This window comes from Homo sapiens, chromosome 12 (assembly GCF_000001405.40).
Source record: "Homo sapiens chromosome 12, GRCh38.p14 Primary Assembly".
Lineage (NCBI taxonomy): Eukaryota > Metazoa > Chordata > Mammalia > Primates > Hominidae > Homo > Homo sapiens.
The window spans coordinates 7,132,062-7,159,301 of NC_000012.12; the positions used below are offsets into that span (position 1 = coordinate 7,132,062).

General features: G+C 51.1%; 1 protein-coding gene across 4 annotated transcripts in view; it reads left to right on the plus strand.

The window, feature by feature from the left end:
• CLSTN3 (calsyntenin 3) overlaps positions 1 to 26,884 on the plus strand; it is a 29,853-nt gene extending 2,969 nt beyond the window's left edge. For all 4 annotated transcript variants that reach the window (XM_047429921.1, XM_047429919.1, XM_047429920.1 and 1 more), the window contains 17 exons: positions 963 to 1,085; positions 1,512 to 1,707; positions 3,266 to 3,474; positions 3,743 to 3,892; positions 4,145 to 4,330; positions 4,768 to 5,049; positions 5,894 to 6,006; positions 9,181 to 9,343; positions 10,025 to 10,078; positions 10,808 to 10,965; positions 11,102 to 11,250; positions 16,911 to 17,137; positions 17,462 to 17,632; positions 18,483 to 18,628; positions 18,867 to 19,002; positions 25,428 to 25,630; positions 25,880 to 26,884. In XM_047429921.1, the coding sequence (XP_047285877.1) occupies positions 963 to 1,085; positions 1,512 to 1,707; positions 3,266 to 3,474; positions 3,743 to 3,892; positions 4,145 to 4,330; positions 4,768 to 5,049; positions 5,894 to 6,006; positions 9,181 to 9,343; positions 10,025 to 10,078; positions 10,808 to 10,965; positions 11,102 to 11,250; positions 16,911 to 17,137; positions 17,462 to 17,632; positions 18,483 to 18,628; positions 18,867 to 19,002; positions 25,428 to 25,630; positions 25,880 to 26,020 (2,807 nt within the window). In that variant the 3' untranslated portion in view covers positions 26,021 to 26,884. The remainder of the gene's footprint in view (positions 1 to 962; positions 1,086 to 1,511; positions 1,708 to 3,265; positions 3,475 to 3,742; positions 3,893 to 4,144; positions 4,331 to 4,767; positions 5,050 to 5,893; positions 6,007 to 9,180; positions 9,344 to 10,024; positions 10,079 to 10,807; positions 10,966 to 11,101; positions 11,251 to 16,910; positions 17,138 to 17,461; positions 17,633 to 18,482; positions 18,629 to 18,866; positions 19,003 to 25,427; positions 25,631 to 25,879) is intronic.
• Positions 26,885 to 27,240: the final 356 nt, after the last annotated feature.

The window sequence follows — 27,240 nt, forward strand, 5'->3', positions numbered from 1 at the left end:
AATATGCTTCCCCACAGCCCCTCACCAGGCTGAATCTGGTAGAAGATGGGGAGATTTGGAGTCTGATGAGTCCCGCATCCATTCTGAATTGGCTGGTGGTTGAAGGGAAGAGGGATGGGGTAGATAAGAACTGGGATTGAGTTCTGTATAAAAAGTGGGTTTCAGGGAATGTGGTTTGATGGTCTTGTGGAGGACATAGAAATGTGTCGGTTTCGAATGTGTTCTCTTGGGTGTGGGGGTGGGAAGCAGGGACGGGATTTGTCATGTTTCTAGGCCAGCCCGATAATCCCTTAGGATGACGGCTCTGCTGGGTCCAGTTGCTCAGCATTGATTCCTCTGCTCCATTCCTGCCCCTCTCTGCCCCCTCCCTCTGTCCTATATATCTTCACTTCTCTCCTTTCTCCCCATCCTGTGTTCTGGGAGAGTGGCCTCAAGTTGGGGCTTGGCTGGGAGAAGTGCAGAGTGAAGGGATCAGGACTGAAATGAGTTGGGAGGAGGATAAGCAATCAGGATCTCAGGAAACTTCTAGATCTTTTTCTAGTTTCAATTCTGCCCTTAATCTATCCCTTCCCTTTCCCAGGGCCTTCTCACAGCCCACCACTGCTCCCTGAAGTTCCCTGTCTCCATTCTCTAGCACGTGAAATCGCTAAAGAACATTCTCCACTTCCTGACCATGGTTCCCATGGAGATAGTGATCCCCTCCTCTTCACCCCCAGGGCAGGTTGTTTCCATGGGAACTGTCTACCCTGCTATAGGAGAAGGCTATGACCTCCCGCAGACCCTCTGACTCCTTTAGTAGCTGATTTCTTGTCCTCAACCACCCGCCTCCTGTAAGGTGCTCCTATAGGGGGTGGAAAAGGTGATGGTGCTGGGGTGTGAGTTGTCTGGGTCAACAAGGGTTGTTGTGGGAGTAGAGGCCCTGCTCACAGGTGCTTCCTCTCCTCTCCCTGGGGTGGGGCCAGCCAACAAGCACAAGCCATGGATTGAGGCAGAGTACCAGGGCATCGTCATGGAGAATGACAACACGGTCCTACTGAATCCACCACTCTTTGCCTTGGACAAGGATGCCCCGCTGCGCTATGCAGGTAATTGGGATTGGGGGATGGCAAGGCAGGGTAGGACAGAGAAAAGTGGGTGGGAGGGCCAAGAGCAAGGGAGGGAGGGAAGGTCCTGGGAGTGATGAGAAAGTAAGGGAAGATAAAAGTGGGCTCAAGGAGGGGAATGGTCTCCACTGAAGAATGGAGATTGAGTCAAGGATGCCAGAAAAGGACATGGCCAGGCAAGGGTTAAACACATCATGATTTTGTCAGATCTCAGGTCTGGAGGCTCTGGGAGGTTGCTGCTCAGGGAAGCTGGGCTTAGAGTTGCGTGTTTGATCATTAATGCTTTTGTGCCTACAGGAGAAGGGACAGGGCTTTGGGAGGAGAGGTGGAGCTGGACCCCAGGTGGGGAGACTGAGGGTGGGGAAGGAGACACAGCAGCCTCACTCCTCCCCTTCTCCCCTTTGCCAGGTGAGATCTGCGGCTTCCGGCTCCATGGGTCTGGGGTGCCCTTTGAGGCTGTGATCCTTGACAAGGCGACAGGAGAGGGGCTGATCCGGGCCAAGGAGCCTGTGGACTGCGAGGCCCAGAAGGAACACACCTTCACCATCCAGGCCTATGACTGTGGCGAGGGCCCCGACGGGGCCAACACCAAGAAGTCCCACAAGTGAGGAAGTCCTTGTCTCCTGCCCCATGTGTTGCAGGGTCCTCCTCCCTGCTCCCAAGCCCACCATCCTCTGTCCGTGCGGTCATCGAATATCCACCCCCACCCGCTGCTGTTCCTAGGACTTAGGGAGCCCCATCCCCTGCTGTTCCTAGGATTTAGGGACTTTCAGGCAAGGTGACAGAAACGTATAGTAGAGTTCAGTGGATCTAATCTTGGCTTTGCCTCTCATGACCTTGGGCAGCCTAGCCTTTCTGGACTTGCTTTTCCTTATCTGTAGAATGGAGATTGTGATGACACCTACTTCATAAGGCTGCTGTGAAGATTCAAGGAGATGGTTTGTGTTGAAAGCATGCACCACAGTGCCTGATACACGTTGAAGGGCACAGTACATGGGCATAATGATGAGGAGGAGAGCAAGAAGGAAGAGGATGAACACACTCAGCATGCATCCAGTTCCCTTTCAACTGCCCCCTCCAGTCTATTTGCAGTGTATACCACACACACGATCCCTATCATACACATATAGCTCTAGGTGAGGGTGGGCAGGCGATGGTTGTAGCAAGAAAGAGGCTCGGGTCTGGGACACCTACGCTTGTTGCCAGCTAACTTCTTATTTGAGAATAAGAGAAAGATCTTCAGTCAGGATTCCTGAGCCACTAAGAGGCACTAGAGATAAAATGCTCTTTGTGACTCAGTTTCCCATTTGAAGATAGGACCCTTGCCTCTGGGGCCTGGGAGCCTGGGTCTTGGCCTGGGGCAGGGCTCAGCATGAAGGGCCTCGACCCAGCTCTGCTTGCCCCGGTGCATGACTAGGGAGGGGCCGCATGTGCGGGAGGCAGCACTGCCCACACGTACTGTGCAGACATGTCAGATGACTTGTGACCTTTGTACACATGCCATTTCCCTTCTTATGGCTGGTTTTAATTTGGCTTTTACTCTGCATCTTCCTTGCTTATCCCCCCGGATCTGACTGTTGTGAAGGAAGGCCCTGCTGGATTTTATGCCTTACCCCTCCTCTTGGCACCCTGACCCATAGCATTTTGCACAGAAGTCATCAAAATCAGCTCCTGAGCACCCCTGGGCCTTGTTCCTCATCCCCTACATCAGTCCTCCTTTCTTTGGGCCCTCCCTCTGGTGTTGTCCTCTCCCTGGCATGACTTTGATGCAGCTTGGTGCCCTGTGGGGTGGGGAGGAGCGTGCTGACTGCCTCAGTCTCAGGGATAGATGGGCAGGCTCCCTCCTGTTCTGGCTCTCCGTCGGGATTCCTGCTTGCTCCTTTCTGGCATATGGGTGTACCGTGTCGAGGCTGTACCTTGGTGTACAGTATAAGGCTGTATCTCGTTGTGCCCATATTGAGGCTGTTTGTTGGTGTACAGTATTGAGGCTGTATCTTGGTGTACGGTATCGAACCTGTCCCTCCATGTGCCGTATCAAGGCTGTATCTTGATGTACCGTATCGAGGCTGTACCTCGGTGTGCTGTATCAAGGCTGTATCTCAATGTATAATGTCGAGGCTGGCTGACGTGTCTTCATCCCTCCTTCTCTCTGGCATATGCAGGGCCACTGTGCATGTGCGGGTCAACGATGTGAACGAGTTTGCCCCAGTGTTTGTGGAACGGCTGTATCGTGCGGCTGTGACAGAGGGGAAGCTGTACGATCGCATCCTGCGGGTGGAAGCCATTGACGGTGACTGCTCCCCCCAGTACAGCCAGATCTGCTACTATGAGATTCTCACACCCAACACCCCTTTCCTCATTGACAATGACGGTGAGTCCACCCCTGGCTTCCCTGGCCACCCAGTTCCCCTTGAGCACCCACCTCCCTCAGGACAACCCAGGGTTGCATTCTCCACTTTTGCCCCTCAGACCCTCACCTCACCCTTCTTCCCAAATGGAGCCTTCTCCTCCCAGATGCCTTTTTTCCCAGCGTCCTGCTGCCTAACCTGCCTGCTGCCCGATGATCTCAGACATCCTCCCCTCCCTGCCCTGGGCTTTCTCCAATGCTCTAATGCTCTGTCCTCCTGACCCCACCCCAGGGAACATTGAGAACACAGAGAAGCTGCAGTACAGTGGTGAGAGGCTCTATAAGTTTACAGTGACAGCTTATGACTGTGGGAAGAAGCGGGCAGCAGATGATGCTGAGGTGGAGATTCAGGTGAAGCCCACCTGTAAACCCAGCTGGCAAGGTGAGAGCTCAGCGCTGTGCCCCATCTTGTGAATCATCTTTTTTCTTGGTCTCTCTTTCTGTCCTTTCTGACAATCATGGGGGCCAGGCTAGGGCTTGGATGATATTGGGGCAGGCTTGCAGCTATCTACTCTAGCCGGGCCATCCTGCCAGGAGCCCCAAACTGTCCATGGACATGGCAAGAGGAGCATGGAGAGGGGAGGCTGCTTTACCCTTCTCTCTCCCCATCACCCTCTCTGTCTCACCCATGCAGGCTGGAACAAAAGGATCGAATATGCACCAGGTGCTGGGAGCTTGGCTTTGTTCCCTGGTATCCGCCTGGAGACCTGTGATGAACCACTCTGGAACATTCAGGCCACCATAGAGCTGCAGACCAGCCATGTGGCCAAGGGCTGTGACCGTGACAACTACTCAGAGCGGGCGCTGCGGAAACTCTGTGGTAGGTGTGCCCCCAACACTGCCTCAGGCCTATCCCTTCCCATCCAACCTCTGTCCAAACTTTTCCAAGACTCTGCTTTACATCACCACTGGCCATCCACAGGTGTTTATCCATAGAGGTTGTGACACGATTAGCATTTGCGGCCCAAAAGGCAGGTACATATGTCTTTGGCAAAGATGCATAGTCATCGCACCAGACAGTCACCGGATGCATGGTGGAACAATGGTAGGGCGAGATGAAGAGTTGGAGAATGGGTTAACTGGAGAGATACTCTTAGAAGTGAGTTCATCCCTCTCTTGTCTTTGAAAGGCCATAAAAGGTGGCAAGACGTGCTGTAGGAAATCTTTTCCCATCAGTCCCTCTTTCCCTGCCTCCTGCCCTTTTCACCATCTGCTGCTTCTTGGCTCTGACACTTGTGCCTCCTGGGGCTCCCACAGGTGCTGCCACTGGGGAGGTGGATCTGTTGCCCATGCCTGGCCCCAATGCCAACTGGACAGCAGGACTCTCGGTGCACTACAGCCAGGACAGCAGCCTGATCTACTGGTTCAATGGCACCCAGGCTGTGCAGGTGCCCCTGGGTGGCCCCAGTGGGCTGGGCTCTGGGCCCCAGGACAGCCTCAGTGACCACTTCACCCTGTCCTTCTGGATGAAGCATGGCGTAACTCCCAACAAGGGCAAGAAGGAAGAGGAAACCATCGTATGTAACACTGTCCAGAATGGTGAGCCTCCCCTCCAGGCACTAGCCAGAGGGGGAAACTGGCTTCTTGTCCCGCCTCTGTCACTGCCCAGTGTGTGACTGTGAACAGGTCACTTCCCCTCTCTTCATTTGTGAGGTGCAAGTGCCAGGTGTGATATGCCTTGATTCTGTGCTTTATCCCCAACATGACATGTTGGATCGTACTGCTGTCAGAGTGCAATGGGATTCCTTGCTGCTACTCTTGTTTTCAGTTGCCCAGTCAACTTCTCTGTGTCCCACCATGTGGTAGGCTGTCCCCACCCCCCATCTCCACCTCCATTAAAGCCCCTCCATTGCAATGGGAAAGCCTGGGTAATGGTGTGCCCCATTCTTTCATCATCCCATCCTGGGACTGGTTGGCCCCAACTCCGAGGCCTGTTCTTCCCTCAACTGCAGGGCCTACTTCACTGGAGAGGGCTTAGTCTTGACCTGCTCTTTCATTTCTAGCCAATTCTCCAACCTCATTTCTCTTGACCTTGACAACTCTTTTGAAAAGGGTTGTCACCCATGATGTATGTATTAACCAAAGGACTGATGAAGAGCTGGTGATGGAGTGGGCCAGCTGATGTTCCCTCCTCAGCCAGCCAGCCAGGGTGCCTAAGAAGCCCAAGTTATCACTTGGACTGGAATGTGTGTGTGTGTGTGTGTGTGTGTGTGTGTGTGTGTGTGAGAGAGAGAGAGAGAGAGAGAGAGAGGAAAGAAAAATGCTAGAGAACGAGGGAATGAGAGAGGATTAAGAGAATCCAACATCCTCTCCTTCCTGCTGCTTTGAACTTGTTCTGGCCTCAGCCTCTGCACTTGACCCCATCCCCTTCCTGTGCCCTCAGAGGACGGCTTCTCTCACTACTCGCTGACTGTCCACGGCTGTAGGATTGCCTTCCTCTACTGGCCCCTGCTTGAGAGTGCCCGCCCAGTCAAGTTCCTCTGGAAGCTGGAGCAGGTGAGGCAAGAGCCAGGCTCCTGGGAGGGCTGAGTAGATGTGACTCACTTTTAGGAAAGGACCTTCTCTGGGCAGGGTCAGCATTTTCTGGGTTCCCCCTTGCCCTCTCTTTGCTTCTTCACTTTCAGCCCCTGACCATTCTACTCCCAGGTCCTCTTGTTCCCTTTTCCCAAAGCTTGTCCCCTGCAGAAAGCACTTCTGGATTTAAAAAAAAAAGGGAACAAATGACTACTAACACCAAAGTCGACCAACCATCTATTTCCTCCTTGTTTTATTCTCTCTCTCTCTTATTTAGGACTTTAACAGTATACATCCCTGACTCTCAGGCAGTTAGCCTGTTGTAATCAAGACAATAAGTCATTCTGAGGTACACAGATTGGGTTTGAGTCCTGCCAAGGGAATTTGCTGGCTATGAAATCTTGGTTAATATGTGTAAACCTCAGGGTTAAAACAACCCTGTTATATAGGGATAAAAAGAATTCTATATCCCAGAGTCGTTAGGATTAAATGATGTAATAGACCGTTGTAGACTGAAAAGCACTCCCTCTGTATATGTTAATTCTCACTATTATCAGCCCTGATTATGGAGGGATAAATAAAAATGGATAAAATATTTAAAATCCTCTCTTGAGCCAACAGTTGCAGCCTCTTCATTATTTATTCTCCAGGCTGACCACAAGGACCAGTGAGGACTAATTTGAGTTTTCACCTCCTTCTGTTTCTCTTGCAAGTCCTGGTGGAGTGGCTGAGTAAGCAAACGGCAAAAAAAAAAAAAAAAAAAAAAAAAAAGCATTAGAAGAGAGAAAAGAAGTGCCCAGATAATTTATAAACTAGATAATTGAGGGCTGTCTACAAAAGTTTTGCTGTCTGTGGCACTCTTTTAAAGAGACAGTCTGTCATTTGCTGTTTCTTGATTCCCCCCTCACACTGCAAATATTGGTAATGTTACCCTTGCTATCTTTCTTCAATTCACCCTCATTTAATCAACCAGTATCTATTAAATACAACTAAGTCTCTGTCATTCAGCTAGGTTCTGGGAATACAATGAATGAAACAAAATCTTTGCCATCATTCAACTTACATTTCAGTTGGGGAGATAAAGTTTTAAAAAGTAAATAGACATGTAAAATGATAAATTGTGAGAAATGCTCTGAAAGAAGCAGGCAAGGGACTGGGGCAGAGCATGGCGGGAGGCAAGGAAAGGAGAACTTGCCTTAGATTGGGTGCTCCTGGGGGACCTGACTGAGGGGAAATTTAAGCCTAGTGCTAAAGGATGAGAAATAGCTGGGTGTGGGAAGAGTGTGGGAAGGTTCCAGGAAGAGGGAAGAGCATATGCAAAGGCCCTGAGGCAAGAAAGAGCTCAGCATGTTCCAAGCATGGAAAGAGGGCCAGTGCGGTTGGAGTACAGTGAACAAGACTGGAGATAAGTTGCAGAGATGGGCAGTGATCAGGTTGTACAGTGGACTTTTTCAGCAGGGTTAGTCTAGATTTTTGTCATATGAGAGACAGGAAGTGTTTTTTGAAGGATTTTAAAGCAGAGGCATGACCTGATCAGATTTACATCATCATTATTATTATTATTATTATTATTTTTTTTTTTGAGATGGAGTCTCACTCTGTCACTAGGCTGGAGTGCAGTGGTGCGATCTTGGCTCACTGCAACCTCGGCCTCCCGGGTTCAAGAGATTCTCCTGCCTCAGCTTCCCTAGTAGTTGGGACTACAGGCGTGTGCCACCACGCCCAGCTAATTTTTGTATTTTTAGTAGAGATGGGGTTTCACCATGTTGGCCAGGATGGTCTTGATCTCTTGACGTGATCCACCCACCTTGGCCTCCTAAAGAGCTAGGATTACAGGCGTGAGCCACTGCGCCTGGCCAGATTTACATTTTAACAAGATCCCCTTGGCAACTGTGGGATGGTTGTATTGAAGGTATCTAATGGTGACAGTAAACAGGACTGTTGCAACAGTCTTCATGAAAGGGGTTGGAGACATGACTGATGTGTGGCAATGGAGACGGAGAGACCTGCACAGAAACCTGCAGCTTGTAGCTCTGTTTGGACCTGGGATCAACAGCACCTGCTAATGGACTGGATGTGGAGGCTGAGGGAAAGGGAAGATCAAAGTTGTCTCCTACGTCAGCCACTTGAGCAGCTAGATGGATGATGGAGCATTTATACTGCCTGGGGAGAAACTGAGGGAGTTGGGAAAGGGCATGGACTTGCACCTTACACGTGTTAAATGTGAGATACTTGTGGGCATCCAAGTGGAGAATCTGGCATTCAGAGGAGAGTTATGGGCTGGAGATGTGGATTTTGGAGTTACCAGTGTATAACTATGGTACCCAAACCCATGGCAACAGATGAGGTGACTTCTAGGAAAAGAGTGTAGAGAGGAAAGAGAAGAGGGCCTAGGTCTGAGCCTTGAGGGACCCCAACATTTGGAACTGGATGAGGCAGAGTACTCTCTGCCCCTTTTTCCTCTGACCATCCCCCATTCCATCTTGGCTGGCCCTAGGAGAGACTGCAAAGGGAAGCAATATTTATTTTAGTGCTTAATGTTGGGTTAGAAGCTATCCTAGAGATAACCTGTGATCCCAGCTACTTGGGAGGCTGAGAGGATCACTGGAGGCCAGGAGTTGGAGACCAGCCTAGGCAACATAGTGATAGCTCATCTCTAAAAAATAAAAAAATTAGCTGGACATGGTGGCACATACCTGTAGTCCCAGCTACCCCAGAGGCTGAAGTGGGAGGATTGCTTGAGCCGAGGGGTTTGAGGCTTCAGTGGGCTATGATTGCACCACTGCACTCCAGCCTGGGGGACAGAAGGAAACCCCATCTCTAGAGTTTCCAGTGCCTTACACACATATGTAATACATAAGTTCGGGGGGCAGGGAATTTATTCATGAAAGTGTGTTACTCCTCTTAGGAATATTTATAGCTTTAACGATTTACCTGAAGAGTGGAATCTTTGCTACTAGGTTGGTTGCCTGATAGATTTTGGACAAGGATGTTATTCCTCGAGCTGGATAGGCAGCAAAGCACTAGTAAGCCCTGTTGGTAGAACTGGGAATAAAGGGACTGTCCCCTGTCTCCCAGGAGATGGGGCAGTGCCTAGGGTTAGCTCTCTGAAGACGAATTACCTGAGAGGCTCTTGCCCCTACCCTACTCTCCCAGGTCTGTGATGATGAGTGGCACCACTACGCTCTGAACCTCGAGTTCCCCACAGTCACACTCTATACCGACGGCATCTCCTTCGACCCTGCCCTCATCCATGACAATGGCCTCATCCACCCACCCCGAAGGGAGCCTGCTCTCATGATTGGGGCCTGCTGGACTGGTAAGCTTCTCAGTGAAGACTCCAGTGGTTCAGGATTTGGGAAGGGAGGTAGGCTGGTGAGGAGCAAGGGCAGTCTGACCCAGCAGCTGAGGCCGCCTCCTGCATCTCTCTGCAGCTGTGCAGGGTGACTCTGAAGATCTCCATGGGAAGGGACCACAGCCTCCCTCCCGTATCTCCCACTAATCCAATGGGTCATCACCTCTGACTTGGAGGAATTAACTTCTCACGCATCCCCAGACTCTCTCTCTGTAACTCCAGCCAGTTTCCACTTTTTTCCATCAAAGTGATGATGACTTCCATAGCCCATTCCCCTGCTCAAGGAGAGTAACCCCTTAGAGTGTCCTCGGTCTTCCAACTTTTAAGCCATTGAAAAAATTTTTCTCCTCTTGGGAGTGTGTGTGTGCACATGTGCCTGTCTGTCTTACCAGAGCCCACGTGTTTCCTCAGCAGCATATCGTATTTGGGGGTTTGTCTATAATAGAGGCTGGAGAGGTTGGAACATGACAAAAGAAGGGTTGGGGCTGAGCTGAGAGGTTGCAAGTTATACATGGGCAGGGTCAGAATCCCATGTGGGCATGAGAGCACTCATGGGGATGAGAGGAAGACATCTCATTCCTCTCTGTCAATCTCTCCACATCCCTGAGCTCACCAGCACTGTTTTTTTTTTTTTTTTATCCCCAGAGGAGAAGAACAAAGAGAAGGAAAAGGGAGACAACAGTACAGACACCACCCAAGGTACTCCGTGTGTAAGAACTGGAGACCAGAGAGTTCTCATCTTCACTTTCTGTTCTGAGATCCCTTTTCCACCCCAAATCCTATCCAGCCTGTGACAGCCTCCTAGGCCACCAGGGGGCAGAGCCTCCAAGAAATACAGCAGGGCAGGGGCTCCTGGAGTGGTAAGGCTAGAGGCAGCTTGGCTGGGTTCTGGGTATCCTGTCCTGCCCACAGAATGAAGAATGGGGCTCTCTTGGTGGCTTTCCACATGGTAGAAGGGAGGTGGCAGGAGTCAGGAGTCAGACACGCAGAAGGGGAAGGTCTGGGCATCTGTGAAGCTCGCTCACATCCATCCTGGTCTCCCTGCATGTCACTGGAAAGACGTTCTCTCCTGCCGCCTCCCCCTCCCTCCTTGTTTTGACTCTTTCCTCCTGTTGGTCCTGTTTCCTTCTCTTCCTCCCTCTCATCTTTGTTGCTTCTACTTTTCACCCTTCTTCTTCTCCCCTGGCTTTATTCTGTCTTCTTTTGTCTCATTTTCTCCCTTCTCTAGCCTCCCCCCTTACCTTCACTTCTCCCTCACCTCTCATCTCTCTTTTTTCCTTTTTTTTTTTTTTTTTGGTTTCCACATTTCTCCTTTTTTTCTTTCTCAACTCTTCTGCTCTTTCTCTCCTTTCCCTTTCTCTCAGCCTTCGTCCTTTTCCATCCTCCTCTCTTCTCACCTCCCGTCCTGCTCCTGTGTTCCTACCCTAGGAGACCCTTTGTCGATCCACCACTACTTCCATGGCTACCTGGCTGGTTTCAGCGTGCGCTCAGGTCGCCTGGAGAGCCGCGAGGTCATCGAGTGCCTCTATGCATGTCGGGAGGGGCTGGACTATAGGGATTTCGAGAGCCTGGGCAAAGGCATGAAGGTATTGCCCCATCCTCTAGCCCTGTTCTTCCCAGCATGCCCCTTGCCCCACCCCCTTGCCCTACCCCTCTACCTCTGCTCCCTTCCTCTGCCACCTCCTGGCCCTGCTCTCAGCTGTATCTGTGTCTGGGGCCCAGGTCCACGTGAACCCCTCACAGTCCCTGCTCACCCTGGAGGGGGATGATGTGGAGACCTTCAACCATGCCCTGCAGCATGTGGCTTACATGAACACTCTGCGCTTTGCCACGCCCGGCGTCAGGCCCCTGCGCCTCACCACTGCTGTCAAGTGAGTGTTGGGTGGGGCAGGGCAAATCACCAAGCAGAGCCAGACAGTGTCACAGCTCCTTGGCCTAAGGCGTCACCTAGAGCTAGGCATACCTCTTTTGTTTTATGGATGAGGAGATTGGGCCCTCAAATGGAGACAATTGACCACTGAAGGTCACATAGCAATATTGGTAGAAGAGTCTGGACTATACTCAGATTTCTCAACAATCAATCTGTTACTCTTTCTACCAAGTCACACATCTAGGGTTTCCGGGCTTTGATCTTCTCTATGCCTCTGTGCTGATACGTAAAGTGGGACACAGGATTGGGAGTGGGGAGACCTGACATTAATTCTGACTCAATGCGAATTGCTTGGATAACCTCGGGCAAATGGTGAGTCCTGGCTGCTTCACTTGTTTTAATCTTGCTTCACCAAGCTCTTGCAAGGTCACGTACGATGGCCTAAGTCTGGGGGTTGGCAGTCCTAGGCCAAATCTGGCCTGCCCACCTGTTTTGTAGTTTTATTGGAACACAGCAGTGCCCATTCATTGCATATGTCTATGGCTACTTTCACTGTGATGGCAGAACTGTGGGTAGTTGGGACAAAGATCATATGGCCCCCTCAAACAGAACTATCTAATCCTTCATAGAAAAAGTTTGCTGGCCGGGCACGGTGGCTCACGCCTGTAATCCCAGCACTTTGGGAGGCCAAGGCAGATGGATCACGAGGAGTTCAAGACCAGCCTGGCCAACATGGTGAAACCCTGTCTCTACTAAAAATACAAAAATTAGCTGGGCATGGTGGCACGTGCCTGTAATCCCAGTTACTTGGGAGGCTGAGACAGGAGAATTGCTTGAACTGGGACCCAGGAGGCGGAGGTTTCAGTGAGCCGAGATTGCACCACTGCACTCCAGCCTGGGCTACAAAGCGAGACTCCATCTCAAAAAAAAAAAAAAAAAAAAAAAGTTTACTGACCTCTGAATTCTAAGTGAATGACTTTTGGAGTCTTTAAAAGAAAAATTGTAGATTATTTCAAGGTTTGAGTATATATTACATGTTTAAAAATACAGATCAATTGAGAGGCAACGAAAGTATGATAGTTAAGAGCATAGGGTCTATTGCTAGCTTTTTGGCACTGGGCAAATGCTATAAAGTGGTGATAGCAATAGAGTCTAACTCGTGGAATTGTTACGATGACTACATGATATAATCTGGATCAAATGCCTAGCAGAGAGTGGATGCCGCTTAAATGCTGGCTATTATTACATAAAGGCATTTTCACCCCTTATTATGGTTTATGGGCGGTTTTTAGGAGATACTGCCATCTAGTGGGTGAATTACATGATTTAAGAGTTAGGATTTCTGCGTTCCAATCTTGTTACCCCTCTCCCCGATTCTGCCTCAGTTTCTCTGTGAGCTATATGAAGATAAACATCTCAAATTTGCCCCTATCCTGGGAGGGGTGGGTTTAGAGGGGAGAGGGCTCTGAGCCCTAGAGGGTGACTGGGCGTGATTATCAGGCCTCACAGTTAGAGCTGTGGAAGGCCCCGGGCTGTGGCTTTTGGGAATTTGCTGGTTCAGGGTGTGGAGCTGAAGGTCACAGGCAGTTGAGTTAATGTGGGTGCAGCTGATTGCTGAGTATGCACCCCGCCATGTCCCAGTCAGAGCTCCAGTTGTTAAAGGGCTGTCATCCAGTTATGAAAGGCTTGATCCCTCAGAAGCCAAGGCATTGCCTCGTCCCCTCCAGTGCTGAGGAGCCATGGCAGAAGGGAGGGCTCTGGTTTTTGGCCTAGGGTGGAGCTCTGCAAGGGGAGTTCCTGCGGGGGGAGGAGTTGACATTCTCTTTGCTGACTGCCTCATCTGAATTCCTGCTATCTTTTTCATGCCCAGGATAGAGGTTTATCCAAGGGCTTGGAACCTGCCTTTGAGGAAAGGGGCCTTGATGTTTTCTCTATGAGGTTAAGAAACAGAGTTTTCATTTCTCCATTTCTAAGGTTACTACATGGTTGGTGCTATCCTAATACTTCCCTGAGGTCACGGGAGAAAATATAGAGGGGTGTGTGTGTGTGTGTGTGTGTGTGCGCGCGCATTTGTGTGTATGTAACAGACACAGACAGGTACCTAGCAATACCTCCCTTTCCCTGATGCATTTCCTTGCCCCTGTCCCTGTGGCTTTCATAGCTTCCAGTTTTCAGTTCTTGGACCTCTGTCTATTTAAAGCCAGATTTATGCAACTATTTGGTCAATGCCTAAATGCAAGTTTTCCTGAAGTTTTTTTTTTTTTTAGTATTTTTCTTGGAAAGCCCATTTACTTGTGGAATTGACCCCTGAACAGATAGATACCACATCTATTTCTCTAGTTTTGTCCTCTTTCCACAGCTCTTGACTTTCCATCTGCTTCCTGTAACCTCTATCTAGAAGTTCTGCTAGCACCTCAACCGAAAGAGCTAATGCTGAAATAATCAACTGCAATCCCAAACCAGCCTCTCTCCCTGAACTCTCTCTGTAATGGTGCCTCTGTCCTTGCAGTCATCCAGAGCTTGAAACCTCTGAGTCATCTTTGATTCTTCCCTGTCTTTATCCTCCACTGCCCATCAGTTGCCAGCTCACCTGGACCCTGCCTCTGTGCCGCGTGTCTGAAATCTGTCTCCTCTTTCTTTTGCTGCTGTTACTGTTCTAGCCCAGGTCTTATTACCTCTTATCTGGCCCATTGCCTCCTAACTAGCTGACCTATCTCTAGTCTTCGAATTTTATTTATCCTCTACTCTGAGGCTAGGTGAGTGATCTTAAGTTGAGTTTTCATCATCACACTTCCCTGATGAAAAAGACGTCGGTGGCTTCCTCTTGCCCACTGCATAAAAATGTCAAATGTGCTGGGTGCCGTGGCTCACACCTGTAATCCCAGCACTTTGGGAGGCCAAGGTGGGAGGATCACTTAAGGCCAGAAGTTCGAGACCAGCCTGCACAACCAACAGACCGCAAGTCTGTAGTCCCAGCTACTCAGGAGGCTGAGGTGGGAGAATCACTTGAGCCCAGGAGTTCGAGGCTGCAGTGAGTCATGATTGCACCACTGCATTCCAGCCTGGGCGACAAAGCGAGACCCTGTCTCTAAAAAATTAGAGAGAGAGAAAAAAAAAACAGATCTTATCATGGCATTTAAAGCTGCCAGCCATCTGGCTTCTGGTGGTTCCTGCCTCATGTTCCTCTACTCCCCTTAGTAAGCTTCTCGCCATCCACTCTGGGTCAGTACTACCCTCCTTCAAAGGCTAGCTCAGTTGCTACTTTCTCTGATCGTTCCTACCTTCCTTTTCCAAGCACCCTCCTCTTATCCTAGGCAGAACTAACCTCTCCCTCCTCTGAACTCTTCTGGTTGTTTGTTCCACTCATATGGCGATGACCATATTTGCCTTTCTTTTAACTTTTGTGTGCCACGTCTAATCTCTCTACCAGACCAACGGTGCCTTTGGGTCAGGCCTCCTATTCCCCTTGGGATTCCCAGACCAGCGGCACAGCACAGCATTGCTCATTGCAGGGAGGATGTCTGTTGGAGCCTGTGCCTTCAGGGTCATCTGGGATTGTTTCCCAAGGGGCTTTGCCCTAGGCCTATCTGGATGGCAGACTGTAATAGGCCCTGCTCCGTGTGGTACAGGAACTCAGCACATCCCGGGCATTGGCAACTTCAGGGGCTCTGAGCTCATCATGCCTACTGAGATGATGCCTTCTCCCTTTTTACTCCAGCATTCAAGCTGGGCATGCTCAGTAACACTAATAATTACAGTCCTCTCTGTAAAATCATTTCCGCTAGCACCAGCGTGGGGATCAGAGTCCATGCTCCTGGATCACTAACTCCACCGTGAAGTCTGCTTGTTCAAGTGGGGAAACTTCTTTACAGATACATTTCCCTGGTGCAAACCCAGGCCCCAAATGGTGCCTGTGGTTTAGTGGAAAGATCAGTGGACTTGGGCGGTGTGTGGTGGCGCACACCTGTGGTCCCAGCTCCTCAGGAGGCTGAGGCACGAGATTGCTTGAACCTGGGAGGCAGAGGTTGCAGTGAGCTGAGATGGCACTACTGCACTGCAGCCTGGGCAACAGAGAGAGACTCTGCCAAAAAAAAAAAAAAAAAAAAAAAAAAAAATCAGTGGACCTGGAAGGAGAAGAATGATTTAAGCCTAGACTCTGGTTTAAGCCTTGATTGTTTCTTTTTCTTTTTCTTTCTTTTCTTTTCTTCTTTTTTTTTTTGAGATAGGGTCTCACTCTGTCGCCCAGGCTGGAGTGCAGTGGCCTGATCTCATCAGCTCACTGCAACCTCTGCCTCCTGGGCTCAAGTGTTCCTTCCACCTCAGCCTCCTGAGTAGCTGGGACTACAAGCATCTACCACCACACCTGGATAATTTTTGTATTTTTTGTAGAGACGGGGTTTCACTATGTTGCCCAGGCTGATCTCGAACTCCTAAGCTCAAGGGATCCTCCCGCCTCAGCCTCCCAAAGTGCCAGGATTTACAGGCATGAGCCATCATGCCCAGCCTGAGCTTTAGGCATTTTACAGCATAGAAATGAGGTTATAATATAATGAAATAATATGGGCCAGGTGCGGTGGCTCACGCCTGTAATCCCAGCACTTTGGGAGGCCGAGACGGACAGATCACCTGAAGTCAGGAGTTCAAGACCAGCCTGGCCAATATGAAGAAATCTCATCTCTACTAAAAATACAAAAATTAGCCGGGTGTGGTGGCATGCGCCCTATAATCCCAGCTACTTGGGAGGCTGAGACAGAGGAATCGCTTGAACCCAGGAGGCAGAGGTTGCAGTGAGCCAAGATCGCACCATTGCACCCTAGCCTGGGCAACAAGAGTGAAACTCCATCAAAAAGAAAGAAAGAAAGAAAGAAAGAAAGAAAGAAAGAAAGAAAGAAAGAAAGAAAGAAATGTGGGAAAATGCTTCATAAACTGGCAAGGGCTATTGATTGTGAGGTGTTGTTATTACTGGTAAAGGTGGGGCTAAATGTGATCCTGGGAGCATCACTGCTGAGCAGCTGTGCTGTTGGTTGGTCTGGCTCAACAGAGTCCTCTAAGGATAGCTTGTCCTGATGCCTGGATCCTCAAGCTTCATGAGACGGTGGATCTAGGTCCAAGGTGGTCAGATGATCTCACCTACCAAAGTGTGTTTCCCCGATATTGAAGGGAATGAAAGACACACCAAAGAGGAGGACATCCTTTGATAGATGTCCACATTCTACTTTTATTGTTGAATAATTTTGGGCGCATATGTGCCGGATAGTATACTGAGTCCATGTACTTTTAAACTGCTGGATAAAGAACTGTGTGTGTATATATACCTGTTTGTCAGTTCAGTTTGCTTTGTTTTTCATTAAAATAGCATCTATAGGTACTCCATAATCCTGGGGTAGGGCATTGATGGTGTGATCACACCCACAGGTTGGGATTACCTGACCTTCTGTCCTCGACATTTTCCTTGGTGACATCCTACCAGGAAAGGATATGTCCCCCTTCAACTGCTGTGGGGGTTGGGATGCAGAGGCATGACCCCCTTTCTTCCCCTGCCCCTTCCTGACATGAGATGCTCTATGATAGAGGTAGCTGGGGCGGGGAGTGAAACAGAATGTGGGTTTTCGGGGAGGAAGTGTTGGGGTCACATGCTGCTTCTCCTGCTTTCTTACATAGGTGCTTCAGCGAAGAGTCCTGCGTCTCCATCCCTGAAGTGGAGGGCTACGTGGTCGTCCTTCAGCCTGACGCCCCCCAGATCCTGCTGAGTGGCACTGCTCATTTTGCCCGCCCAGCTGTGGACTTTGAGGGAACCAACGGCGTCCCTTTGTTCCCTGATCTTCAAATCACCTGCTCCATTTCTCACCAGGTGGAGGCCAAAAAGGATGAGAGTTGGCAGGGCACAGGTAAGGACGACTTCGGGGAGTAACACCATCCAGAGAACCAGCCAGTGTCTGGAGTCAGAGTGTGGGAGAACTCCTGGGGCTGGAAGCAGAAAGCGACTCCATCCTGTGTTTGTTTGACTGAACAACTTACCTTTAAGAAGGAGAGCAAGTGGAAAACACGTGGGTGGAAATGAATTGTTGCATAATGATATTCTTGAAAATGATGCTGACTTCCCTCTCCCTGGCCCTGGAAAGGGAGGGAGAGTGGTGATGAGGGCATGGTTGGGTCTCAGAACCTCCGTGGGCCCTTTGGCTCTGACCCAGACCCTACTATCCCCAACCCAGTGACAGACACACGCATGTCGGATGAGATTGTGCACAACCTGGATGGCTGTGAAATTTCTCTGGTGGGGGATGACCTGGATCCCGAGCGGGAAAGCCTGCTCCTGGACACAACCTCTCTGCAGCAGCGGGGGCTGGAGCTCACCAACACATCTGCCTACCTCACTATTGCTGGTCAGTGGGGCCTGAGGGCCTGTCCTCTGTGTGTGTGTGCCCCTCCCAAAAAGTAAGGGCCTAGGAAGCCCAGAGGGTCCTCCTTCCAGGTCCAGGGATGTGGACAAGTGCCGTTTTGCATTTTCCTAGCCTGGAAGATCCTCTGGCTTTGATTGTCCCTAGGGAAGGTGTGCTGGGTTTAGGCTCCGAATGCTTCTGTCTTCCTGCTCCTCTCCATAGCCTGGCTCACCTCCACTTCTGGTCCCACTCCTGTTTCCATTCAGGCTTCTCACCTTCCTCTCCTCCTTCGGCTCATCTCTGCCCAGCTTTCTAACCCTCTAGCTGTCTGTTTGTTACCGGTCATCTCTGTTGTTCAGCTCACTCATCTCACGTGCACACCAGAGCTTTACAAGAAGTACTCATCTCTTAGTGAATAGTGGGAGTGATGATTTGGTAGTTTCCAAAGGAAGCCAGGAGGGAGAATGGAGAAGATGGAGATAATCAGTTCCCTTCTATTTCCACTCCTTTCCAGGGCTCACTGAGGACTTCTGTATTTTCCTCTTTCTCATATTCCCTCCTGCTTGCCATCTCCCTTTCTGTCTTTCAGGATGTCTTTATCTCCTTCTTTCCATTCCTCCTCAGAACCTACAGAGCAGGAAATGGAGCCTTGATCTCTCCATCCTAGTTAGTCAGAGTGGGCAGGGATGGAGGGGAGCATCCCTCCCTTCGACCTCAGGTCGCACTTCTGCGGAGATGGGGCTGACCTGCTCTACAGCTTGTGTGGCGTCAGCTGGTGGGAGTCCAGGAGAGAGGGTCCTGCCCAGGTCCTGCCTCCACTGGCCCCTGCCCTGAGGTGCTTCCTCATCTCCAGGGGTGGAGAGCATCACTGTGTATGAAGAGATCCTGAGGCAGGCTCGTTATCGGCTGCGACACGGAGCTGCCCTCTACACCAGGAAGTTCCGGCTTTCCTGCTCGGAAATGAATGGCCGTTACTCCAGCAATGAATTCATCGTGGAGGTACCCAGAGAGTCTCCTTCCTTCCACAGTTACCCACCCCCAGAAAGGAGCTGAGGTGGCATGGACTCAAAATGTTAGTTGGTGGGCATGGACATGGCAGCGTGGAGGGCTGCTGGACCTTGCAGTGGGTGGAGGAGAAGGAGATGGGGGCAGTAGTTAGGAGATGGGGCTGGGGTCTAGAGAAGTGGGGAGGACCTGGGAGAAGCGTGTGTGCCCATGGAGCCCTCCCTCTGCCCAGGTCAATGTCCTGCACAGCATGAACCGGGTTGCCCACCCCAGCCACGTGCTCAGCTCCCAGCAGTTCCTGCACCGTGGTCACCAGCCCCCGCCTGAGATGGCTGGACACAGCCTAGCCAGCTCCCACAGAAACTCCAGTACGTAAGCCTGGTGGGGCTGGGCAGGGAGGGGCAGGTGGCAGGTGAGTGTGTTGGGACAGGTATCCTCCCCCTCCACCTCTGGGAGAGGACAAGGTAGGTGGAGCAATGGGTTCTGTTCCCTGTGGTACCTGCCTTAGTTGACAGCTATGGACCAATCCCTCTCTCCCTTTGGATCATTCACTTTCCCTTGTGAAGAACATGAGCCTTGTGTCATTGTAGGGATGCTTATGCCTGCAGTCATAAAGTCAGTGTGGGTTTAGGCGTGTTTGTTATACCTGATGATGCCTCCTTCCCCAGCCCCAAGCAATATCAAATTAGCCCTGGACCTAGGATCCTCTGTGGTGAAACTATCAAGTATTTACTAAGCACCTACTATGTACTAGCACTGTCCTAAGATGATCTAAATGATTTATAGGATAGATCAGTCCCTATCCCCAAGGAGAGAATTGGTACTATTACATGTAAAATTATGTGCTACGTATGCAGTCACAAGAATATTTCTAAAAAATATATGCAAATATGCAAAGCGTTACATTCAGATGGAGTGCTGCCCTTCAAAGCTGCCCTTCAAAGCAACCTGGCCGTGGTCCCAAAGGTTCCCGGTCATGGTCCTTTACGAATGGTGCAATTTTATTTTCAACTTTTGAGTTGCGTAATTGTAGAAAAACCAGAAAATATCAAATATTTCTTTTAAAGAAGAAAAATCAGGCCAGGCACAGTGGCTCATGCCTGTAATCCCAACACACTAGGCTGAGTCAGGAGGCTCACTTGAGTCCAGGAGTTTGAGACCAGCCTGGGCAACACAGTGAGACTCTGTCTTTACAAAAAATAAAAAAAATTAGCTGGGCATGGTGGCAGGTGCCTGTAGTCCCAGCTACTTGGGAGGCTGAGGTAGGAGGATCTCTTGGGCCTGTGAGGCCAAGGCTGCAGTGAGCCATGATCACACCACTGCACTCCAGTCTGGGAGACAGAGCAAGGCTCTGTCTCAAAGGAAAAAAAAAAAAAAAAAAGAAAGAAGAAGACGAGGAAAACTCAGCCATAATTCCGTCAGAGAGGAAACCACTGATAATATGAGTATTCTGTTCCAGTCTTTTTTCTATGCTTAATTTTTCCTTTTTAGAAAGTTAGGATTAGCCTATTTTGTAACCTGATATTTACACTTCATATTATAAAACAAGTATTTTCCCACATTATTAAAAATTGCAAATGATGCTGATGTTGTTGAAAGTGATTTTTGGAACCCCTTCTTAGAATTGCTTTCAGAGCCAATTTATGAGGTGCATTTATTTTTGTTATTTTTTGGACATAACTTGCTTTTGACCCTGTTCAGTGTTACTCAACTTCATCACCCAGTTTTGCCAAAGTTGAATCTGGATATAATTTTAAGTTTTTAAACATTAAACCCACTCTCAAAGGCCATAGATCGGTCACCTTTGAAAAGAGTCAAAAGGTTGTGTCACAGGCTTTTGAGAATTGAAGGCAATTCTCAAAGGAGTCCACTAGTGCTTTCTGGGAAGAAATTTGTGGTCTCTGAACACTATGTGAAAGTACAGAACTTATTTCAATATATGTGATGGGTAATAATAATTATAACAAACACAGGGTGCTCTCATCATGTGCCAGGCACTGTGCTCGGGGGATTACGCTTATTAACTCATTTAGCCATCATAAACAACCAATGAAATGGGTACCAGAATTATCCCCTTTACAGGCAAGGACACAGAGGCACAGAGAGTTCAAGTGCCTTACCCAAGTTCACGCAGCTAGAAAGTAAGTGGAGCCAGGATTTAAATCCAGGAGGCATGATTCCAGTCTGTGCACTAACCATGGCCCTCACCCTTCTCCCCAGATGTTTGATGCTTTAAAAAAGATTAGTCTTATTACTTTAGAGTTGCATATAATTAGGGGGAGCCCCTGAGGGGCTTCCCAGGGTTTTCTGACTGAGGCCAGCTCCTCTGATGCCCCCAGGGATTCAGTCTGGCTTCCTCTCCTTGTGCAACGGCCACCACCTACACTGTCTCTTATTTTATTTTATTTTATTTTTCTGGGACTGGCTCCCTTCTTCCTTGCTGTCCCTGAAAACAACCGCAGAGGCTTTTGGGAGGGAGAGACAGGGTCTTGTTCTGTCGCCTAGGCTGGAGAGCAGTGGTAATCCTAGCTCACTGGAGCCTCGAACTCCTGAGCTCAAGCAATCCTCCTGCCTTAGCCCCCTGAGGAGCAGATGCATGCCACTATGCCTGGCTATTTTTAAGACTTTTTATAGAGACAAGGTCTCACTTTGTTGCTCAGGCTGGTCTTGAACTCCTAGGCTCAAGCGGTCATCCTGGCTCAGCTTCCCGGAGTGCTGGGATTACAGGTGTGAGCCGCCGCACTTGGACTTGCAGACGCCTTTTTCAGTGTTCTACTGTGATTCACTATAGCAAGTAGGTGGAAGTGAGGATTAGCGGGGAATATAAGGCATAACCAAGCTGCAAAGATTAGAGAAGTTTCACATAGTATTTAGTCAATAGAGACATGTTAGCAAGCTAAACCTATTTATTTCAAATAAACTCTTGAGGCCAGCTATAAATTTTTTTCCTTCTTGTGATTCCATAGCACTTTCTCCAGTTCTTTCATTGGGGATCATTCCACTCAATCTTTTCTGGTTGGATACTAGGTCCTGCTACTCTGATTAGGCTCAAGGTAGATAGGGGTGCTGCCTGGCCTGGTGAGATTCTCGATCCTTACTTTCTTTGGTATAAGGCCCCAGGTGAGAGACTTCTTGTTCTAGGAGCCCAGCACCTTCTCCCCTGAGTGTCCAGCTGCCCTGCATGGGCTGGTCTGGCGGGCAGCGTTTCTCACCCCTCAGCCCCTGGAGGAGTGTCTGTTCACGGCACCCTTTCACCTCCCCTCGGTGAAGCCCAGTCTCCCCATCCTTTGTTCTGAGCTCATGTCCAGGCTGATCAAGCTTCCCTCAGATTTCAGTTGAGAGCAGCAGTTTTCCTTTGCTTCTTCTCTTATTTTGACCTGAATAGGACACAGAGTTCGTAGCTTCCCTGAGGGCACTGGTGATTGGCATGCCTGAGCTGACAGGCCATTCACGGCATAAAACCCTTTCCATATGCCTTTTCTGACTCCGCAAGGTGCTCCCTCCCTTTCACCTACAAATCTCGAGTGGTGTTGCAGAACTGTGGTTTCACAATATCAAACCATTCTAAACATGCAGAAGCAGTGAGAGGTACGATCTCCTCCAGTGGCACGGAGGCCCATTGCTCTAAATCTCCTAAGTGCACTAGAGAAAGAGAGATGAATGTGAACTGGAACCAGGGTAAACTGGAACAGTCAGGGGAGATTTTGTGGCACATGTAGAGTTTGCATTTGGACCTGAACTGTAAAAGGGATTTTTGGATGGGTGTGAGAGAGAATGGGAATTTGAGAACCGGGGGTAGATAGGTGGTTAAGAGTGTTTATGGTTAGAGAGAATAAGGTTGGTTGAGAAGAGCAAGCCGGATGATGAGGGTATTATGTATCTACTCATATCAAATTTTGATGACTGCCAGAATCACCTGGGGAGCTTTAAAAACTCTCGGCACCTAAATTATACCCTAGAATGTCTAGGGGGTGGGAGCCACGTGTCAGTGGTTTTTAAAAATCCCATGTAATCTTTAAAAGTTTGGGAATAATTTTCCTCTTTTGTTTCCTACAAGTATCTGAAGCTTTGCAGAAAGAGTTACAAAGCAATAGGACAAAAAGAAAATGAATGAGGAAGTAAGGAGGAACAGGTAATGATGAAATAAGGATCCAATGAAGCCAGGGAATAAAGTCAGCTCATAACATGCGTACTATGAGATGCTATGCAGTTGCTACCACGGGCCAGAATTTTGACCCTGAGCTTCTTCAAAGCTAAAGCAAAAGGAAACCTGAGCAGTTCTGAGAGCCGTGATAGGAGCCAAACGCTATTTCATGAAAAGCCCTGGGAGTGCGGGGGGCAGAAAGAAATCTCTCCCAAGGCTCTTTGCAAAGAGAGCACCGTGTGGGGCCATGGACAGGGCTTTCCACTGTCCTCGCAATCCCATGGACCATTTGCTAAGTCACCCCTTAATGTTGGCTCTGGAGGTCATTCAAGGCCAGAATTAACTGCTCAGATCTCATGTAGCAAGAAAAGCTGAACGCACTTCTTAAATTCTTGATTTTTATCTGTAGCTGATTTAAAAATCCTCCCATCTCCCCGGGCTCCTGACTCATCTTAAACTAATTAACCAGACTTGTTTGCTTGTAGATAGAGTGTCTGCATTTTGTCTTTCCTGTGGTCATTTCTTATTGTCCTGGCAATCAACTTGTCATTTCCTTCATTAGGCCAGGAGCTCGGAGGGACACTGCATTGATTAGGGCGCAAACCAGCTTTAGCTCGTCATCGTTGTGTGCTTAGAGGAAGTTCACCTGCTTTGGCCTCCACTCTGAGGGTGGGGTCACCACCCCTTCTGGAGCCTGGGCTTAGCCACTGGGCCCATCTGCCAGTGAAGGCACTGCCCCTGGCTCTGGTCTGTTGACGTGGAGACCTGAGAGACACTATTTCCTGCAGATGGGCAGGAGAGACAGCTCTGTCCCCTCCTCCCTTATCCCCCGTTCCCAGGAAGTTGAGAAATACTGATCCAGCCAGTCCTGTCTTCACCTTGGAACCAGTGTCGAGGGAGTGTGCCCCAGCAGAGTCCGTTCTAATTGGCTGGTGGCCTCAAGTGGGCTGTGGGTCAGGATGGGGACCAACTTGGCAGACAGCCATCAGGGTGGCCTCAGGGAGGTGTGTGGCCTGCCCAGGCAGGGCATTCTCCACACACCTAGTTGGCCCTGGAGTGCGTGGCAGCTGAGTGTGCTGGCTGCTGGGGAGAGGGGCGCTGCAGCAGGGTGTGGGTGTGAGTGTGAGGAGCTCCTGGGCCATGCGCTTCCCTACGCTCTGCTCTGTCTGTTGACACATGAGTCTCAGGCTGTAGGTAATTTGCGGACGGGGCTGGAATGCGATGTGTGTATTTTTCTAGGGGCTTGCTTGTGTGACTGCTGGTCTCTGTGTGTGTTTGGGGCACACATACATGGAATAGTCCCTCAGCAACGGGACCGCCCAGGGAGGAGCTGCTGTGTATGCATGGTGGGCAGGGGTGTGCACCCATGTGGGGAGTAGTGACCCAGCTGCCCGTAAGGGCCCTGGGCCTGGAGGTGCGTGTGTGGGGTCTCTGCCTCCACCTGCTGTCCCTGGGGCTGCGGGCTTTCCTGCTTTTCTTCCTTGTGCTTCTTCGAGAGCTGTGTGTGTGTGTGCAGGAGGCAGGCAGGGCTGTGCTCATGGCGGCTCGCTCTGTGGCCCTCACGGCCCACGTCTGTAGTGTCTATGTCTTCCTTCAGGGGGTTGCCTGGTCTGCCCAGCTGGTGGGGAGCTGGGTGATGCTGCACATATGGCTCTACCGTGCCTTGCTGGAGACCCCCAGACGCGTTCCTTTACTCCCGCAGTGTGAGCAGGCGGCCAGGTGGCTGGTGTGGGCCAGCATGCAGGCTGGCAAAGGCCTGGCTCGGGTGTGGGGCGTGGCAACCTTTGTGCAGCTGTGTGCCCACACGGTCTTCCTGAGCATGTACCTGTGCATGCACATCTGCTTTGCCGCCATCAGCTCTAAGGTCCGTGTGAGAGTGAACGCACCGTTCTGTGTCTCAGTGCCCTTGAAGGTCCATGCCCCTCTGAGCCTGGGCATCAAAGTGGGGCTGCAGGGCCAGAAGCATGGGAGAGCCACGGGGGAGGCAGGTATGCCTCAGGGGGAGATGTTGGGGAAGCAGGAACCCCAGACGTCCCGGAGCCCCAAGCCCACCAGGAGAAGGGAGGTGTCACGGAGTGAGCTCAGTCCAGGTGGGTAAGGGAAGGGGCTGCTCTGTGCCCCTTGGACTTGTCCCCAGCCTCAGGTGCTAGTGCCCTCTTCCTGCAGCCAGCCCAGGCCTGGAGCCTGCATCTCCTCCTGCTCAGCCAAGCCCGTGTGGGGGCCCCTCCTCTCCCTCACTGGGCACTGGCACCTCTTTCCTAGGCTGAGTGGTCTCTGGGGAAGGCACAGGTGGAATGACAGGGGCAGATTCCAGTCCTTGCCCTCTGTCCTCTGCGAATAGGGCTGTTCATGACAGTGTTGGGCAGGGAGTCTTTTTCCTCCTCTGCCCTTGCCTCTCTGTACACCTGCCTCCCTCTGTGTTTGTTCCTTTGCCTTGCAGCAGCTCCCTTCCTCCCCTTTCGTCTCCTGCCCTTCCTGGTGGGCTGTTTCTCTTCTGGCTTCTCCAGGTGTTCCTCTCTTCTCGGCCACCGTGTGTTCTGCCCTGGGAGTCCTTCAGCCCGGGCTGCCTCTTTTCCTACCCAGCCCCCTGTCCAAGTGCCCCCAGGTGTGCCTAGTCACGCTCTGCTCACCCCCGCGCTCTCTCTGCAGTGATACCCAGCGCCGCAACCCTCATCATTGTGGTGTGCGTGGGCTTCCTGGTGCTCATGGTCGTCCTGGGCCTGGTGCGCATCCATTCCCTTCACCGCCGCGTCTCAGGGGCCGGCGGGCCTCCAGGGGCCTCCAGTGACCCCAAGGACCCAGACCTCTTCTGGGATGACTCAGCTCTCACCATCATTGTGAACCCCATGGAGGTGAGAGGCCTGGGGAAGCGGGGTTCTGTAGGGTCAAGACTGTGGAGCACACACGGTGAGGACTCCTGAGGAGGGGCAGGCCTGGGTGGAGGCTGTTCGCAGAGCTGCAGTGAGCCGGAGGGAGAGAGGTTCAGGCAGGGAAGGGGGTACACAGGGGTTAAGGGGACCGAGGGAAGTGTGGTCCCTGAAAGAGAGGCTGGGATGTGTGCAGGCCATTGATCCCTTCTCCTCTCTGTTCCTGCCCTCCAGTCCTACCAGAATCGGCAGTCCTGTGTGACGGGGGCTGTTGGGGGCCAGCAGGAGGATGAGGACAGCAGTGACTCGGAGGTGGCCGATTCCCCCAGCAGCGACGAGAGACGCATCATCGAGACCCCCCCACACCGCTACTAAGGCCTACACCTCTCCCCACGCAGAGGGGGAATTCTGCCCTGGTGAAACAGACACTCCAGACATGGGAGAAGGACTTTCTGGGAACACAGAGACCAAGAGGGAGAGAGGCTTCAGAACCAGTCCTCCTTTCATTTCAAAACCCCAGCGGGCCCTCTGGAGTCCGCCCTGCCCCTCCCCCGGCCCCCCATCCCTCACTTCTGGGCTGTCATGCTCCTGGTGTGCCCCTTGCACTGGGGCTGGCTGGGTTGGAAAGTGGGCTGGACTTCAGCTGCCTTTCTACCCCCAATGGCAGCTGCCCCCTTAGCACTCACTGTGTTGGGGAGAGGGTGACGATTGCAATGGCTGGGGCTGGGGCTGGGGGTGGGATTGAAGGAAACCCTCTCCTCTCCCCTTCCCTTCTCTCTCCTGTCCATGGGAAGCTTTTCCCCCTCTGCAGGGCTCCCTCAGCTGGACCATCGTCCCTGCTTCTCTTATGATCGCCCCACCTCATTTCCATTTCAGTCTGGGGACCCCATTTCTCCCTCCTTTCCAACTTCCTTCCTTTCTTGTCCTGTTTCCCTTCCTGCCCTTGCAGTCCTGAGGTCCTGCAGCCCCGGCCCCTCCTCCGTGACCTGGTGTGGCCAGGCTGCGGGGACGGGAGGGGACGTGGGGGCCCCGGGTGTACATATATAATGTATATTTTTTCAATGTTGTCGTGAGTGCAGCCCATGTTCCTGCGTGCAGCTCACGGCCTTGTGTGTATGTGTGTGTGTGTGTGTGTGTGAGGCATCGTCATGTCCTGGGGCAGGGGCGGGGGGTTGGGTGTGGTGAGGGAGGGGACATATCCTAGGGTTTTCAAATAAAACAATCAGAAAAAAAAAAAAAGCTCTGTGAGGCGCCTCCTGACTGCCTGGTCCTGTGTGGGTGTGGTGGAGGCTCTGGGGCCTCAGGGGCTGTTTGGGTCTCTGCACAGAGCTGAAGTGAGGTGGGCAGGGCTGGTGATCTTGGGGGCCTGACCAGGTAAGTCCCCAGGATGCCAGATCACCTGGAAAGTAAGCTGGGGGCAGATGGTTCCCACGCCTCCCTTCCTTCAGCACCCCCTGGAAAAGTACAGAAGATTCAGGGAATGCTATGGACACCTGGGCAGATGCCCAGTGCCTTGCAGGGGTGCTGCCAACCCCGCCCCACAACTTGGAACATTTTGCCTGTGCACATGGGCTCCCTGCTGGGCGGCCCCAGGG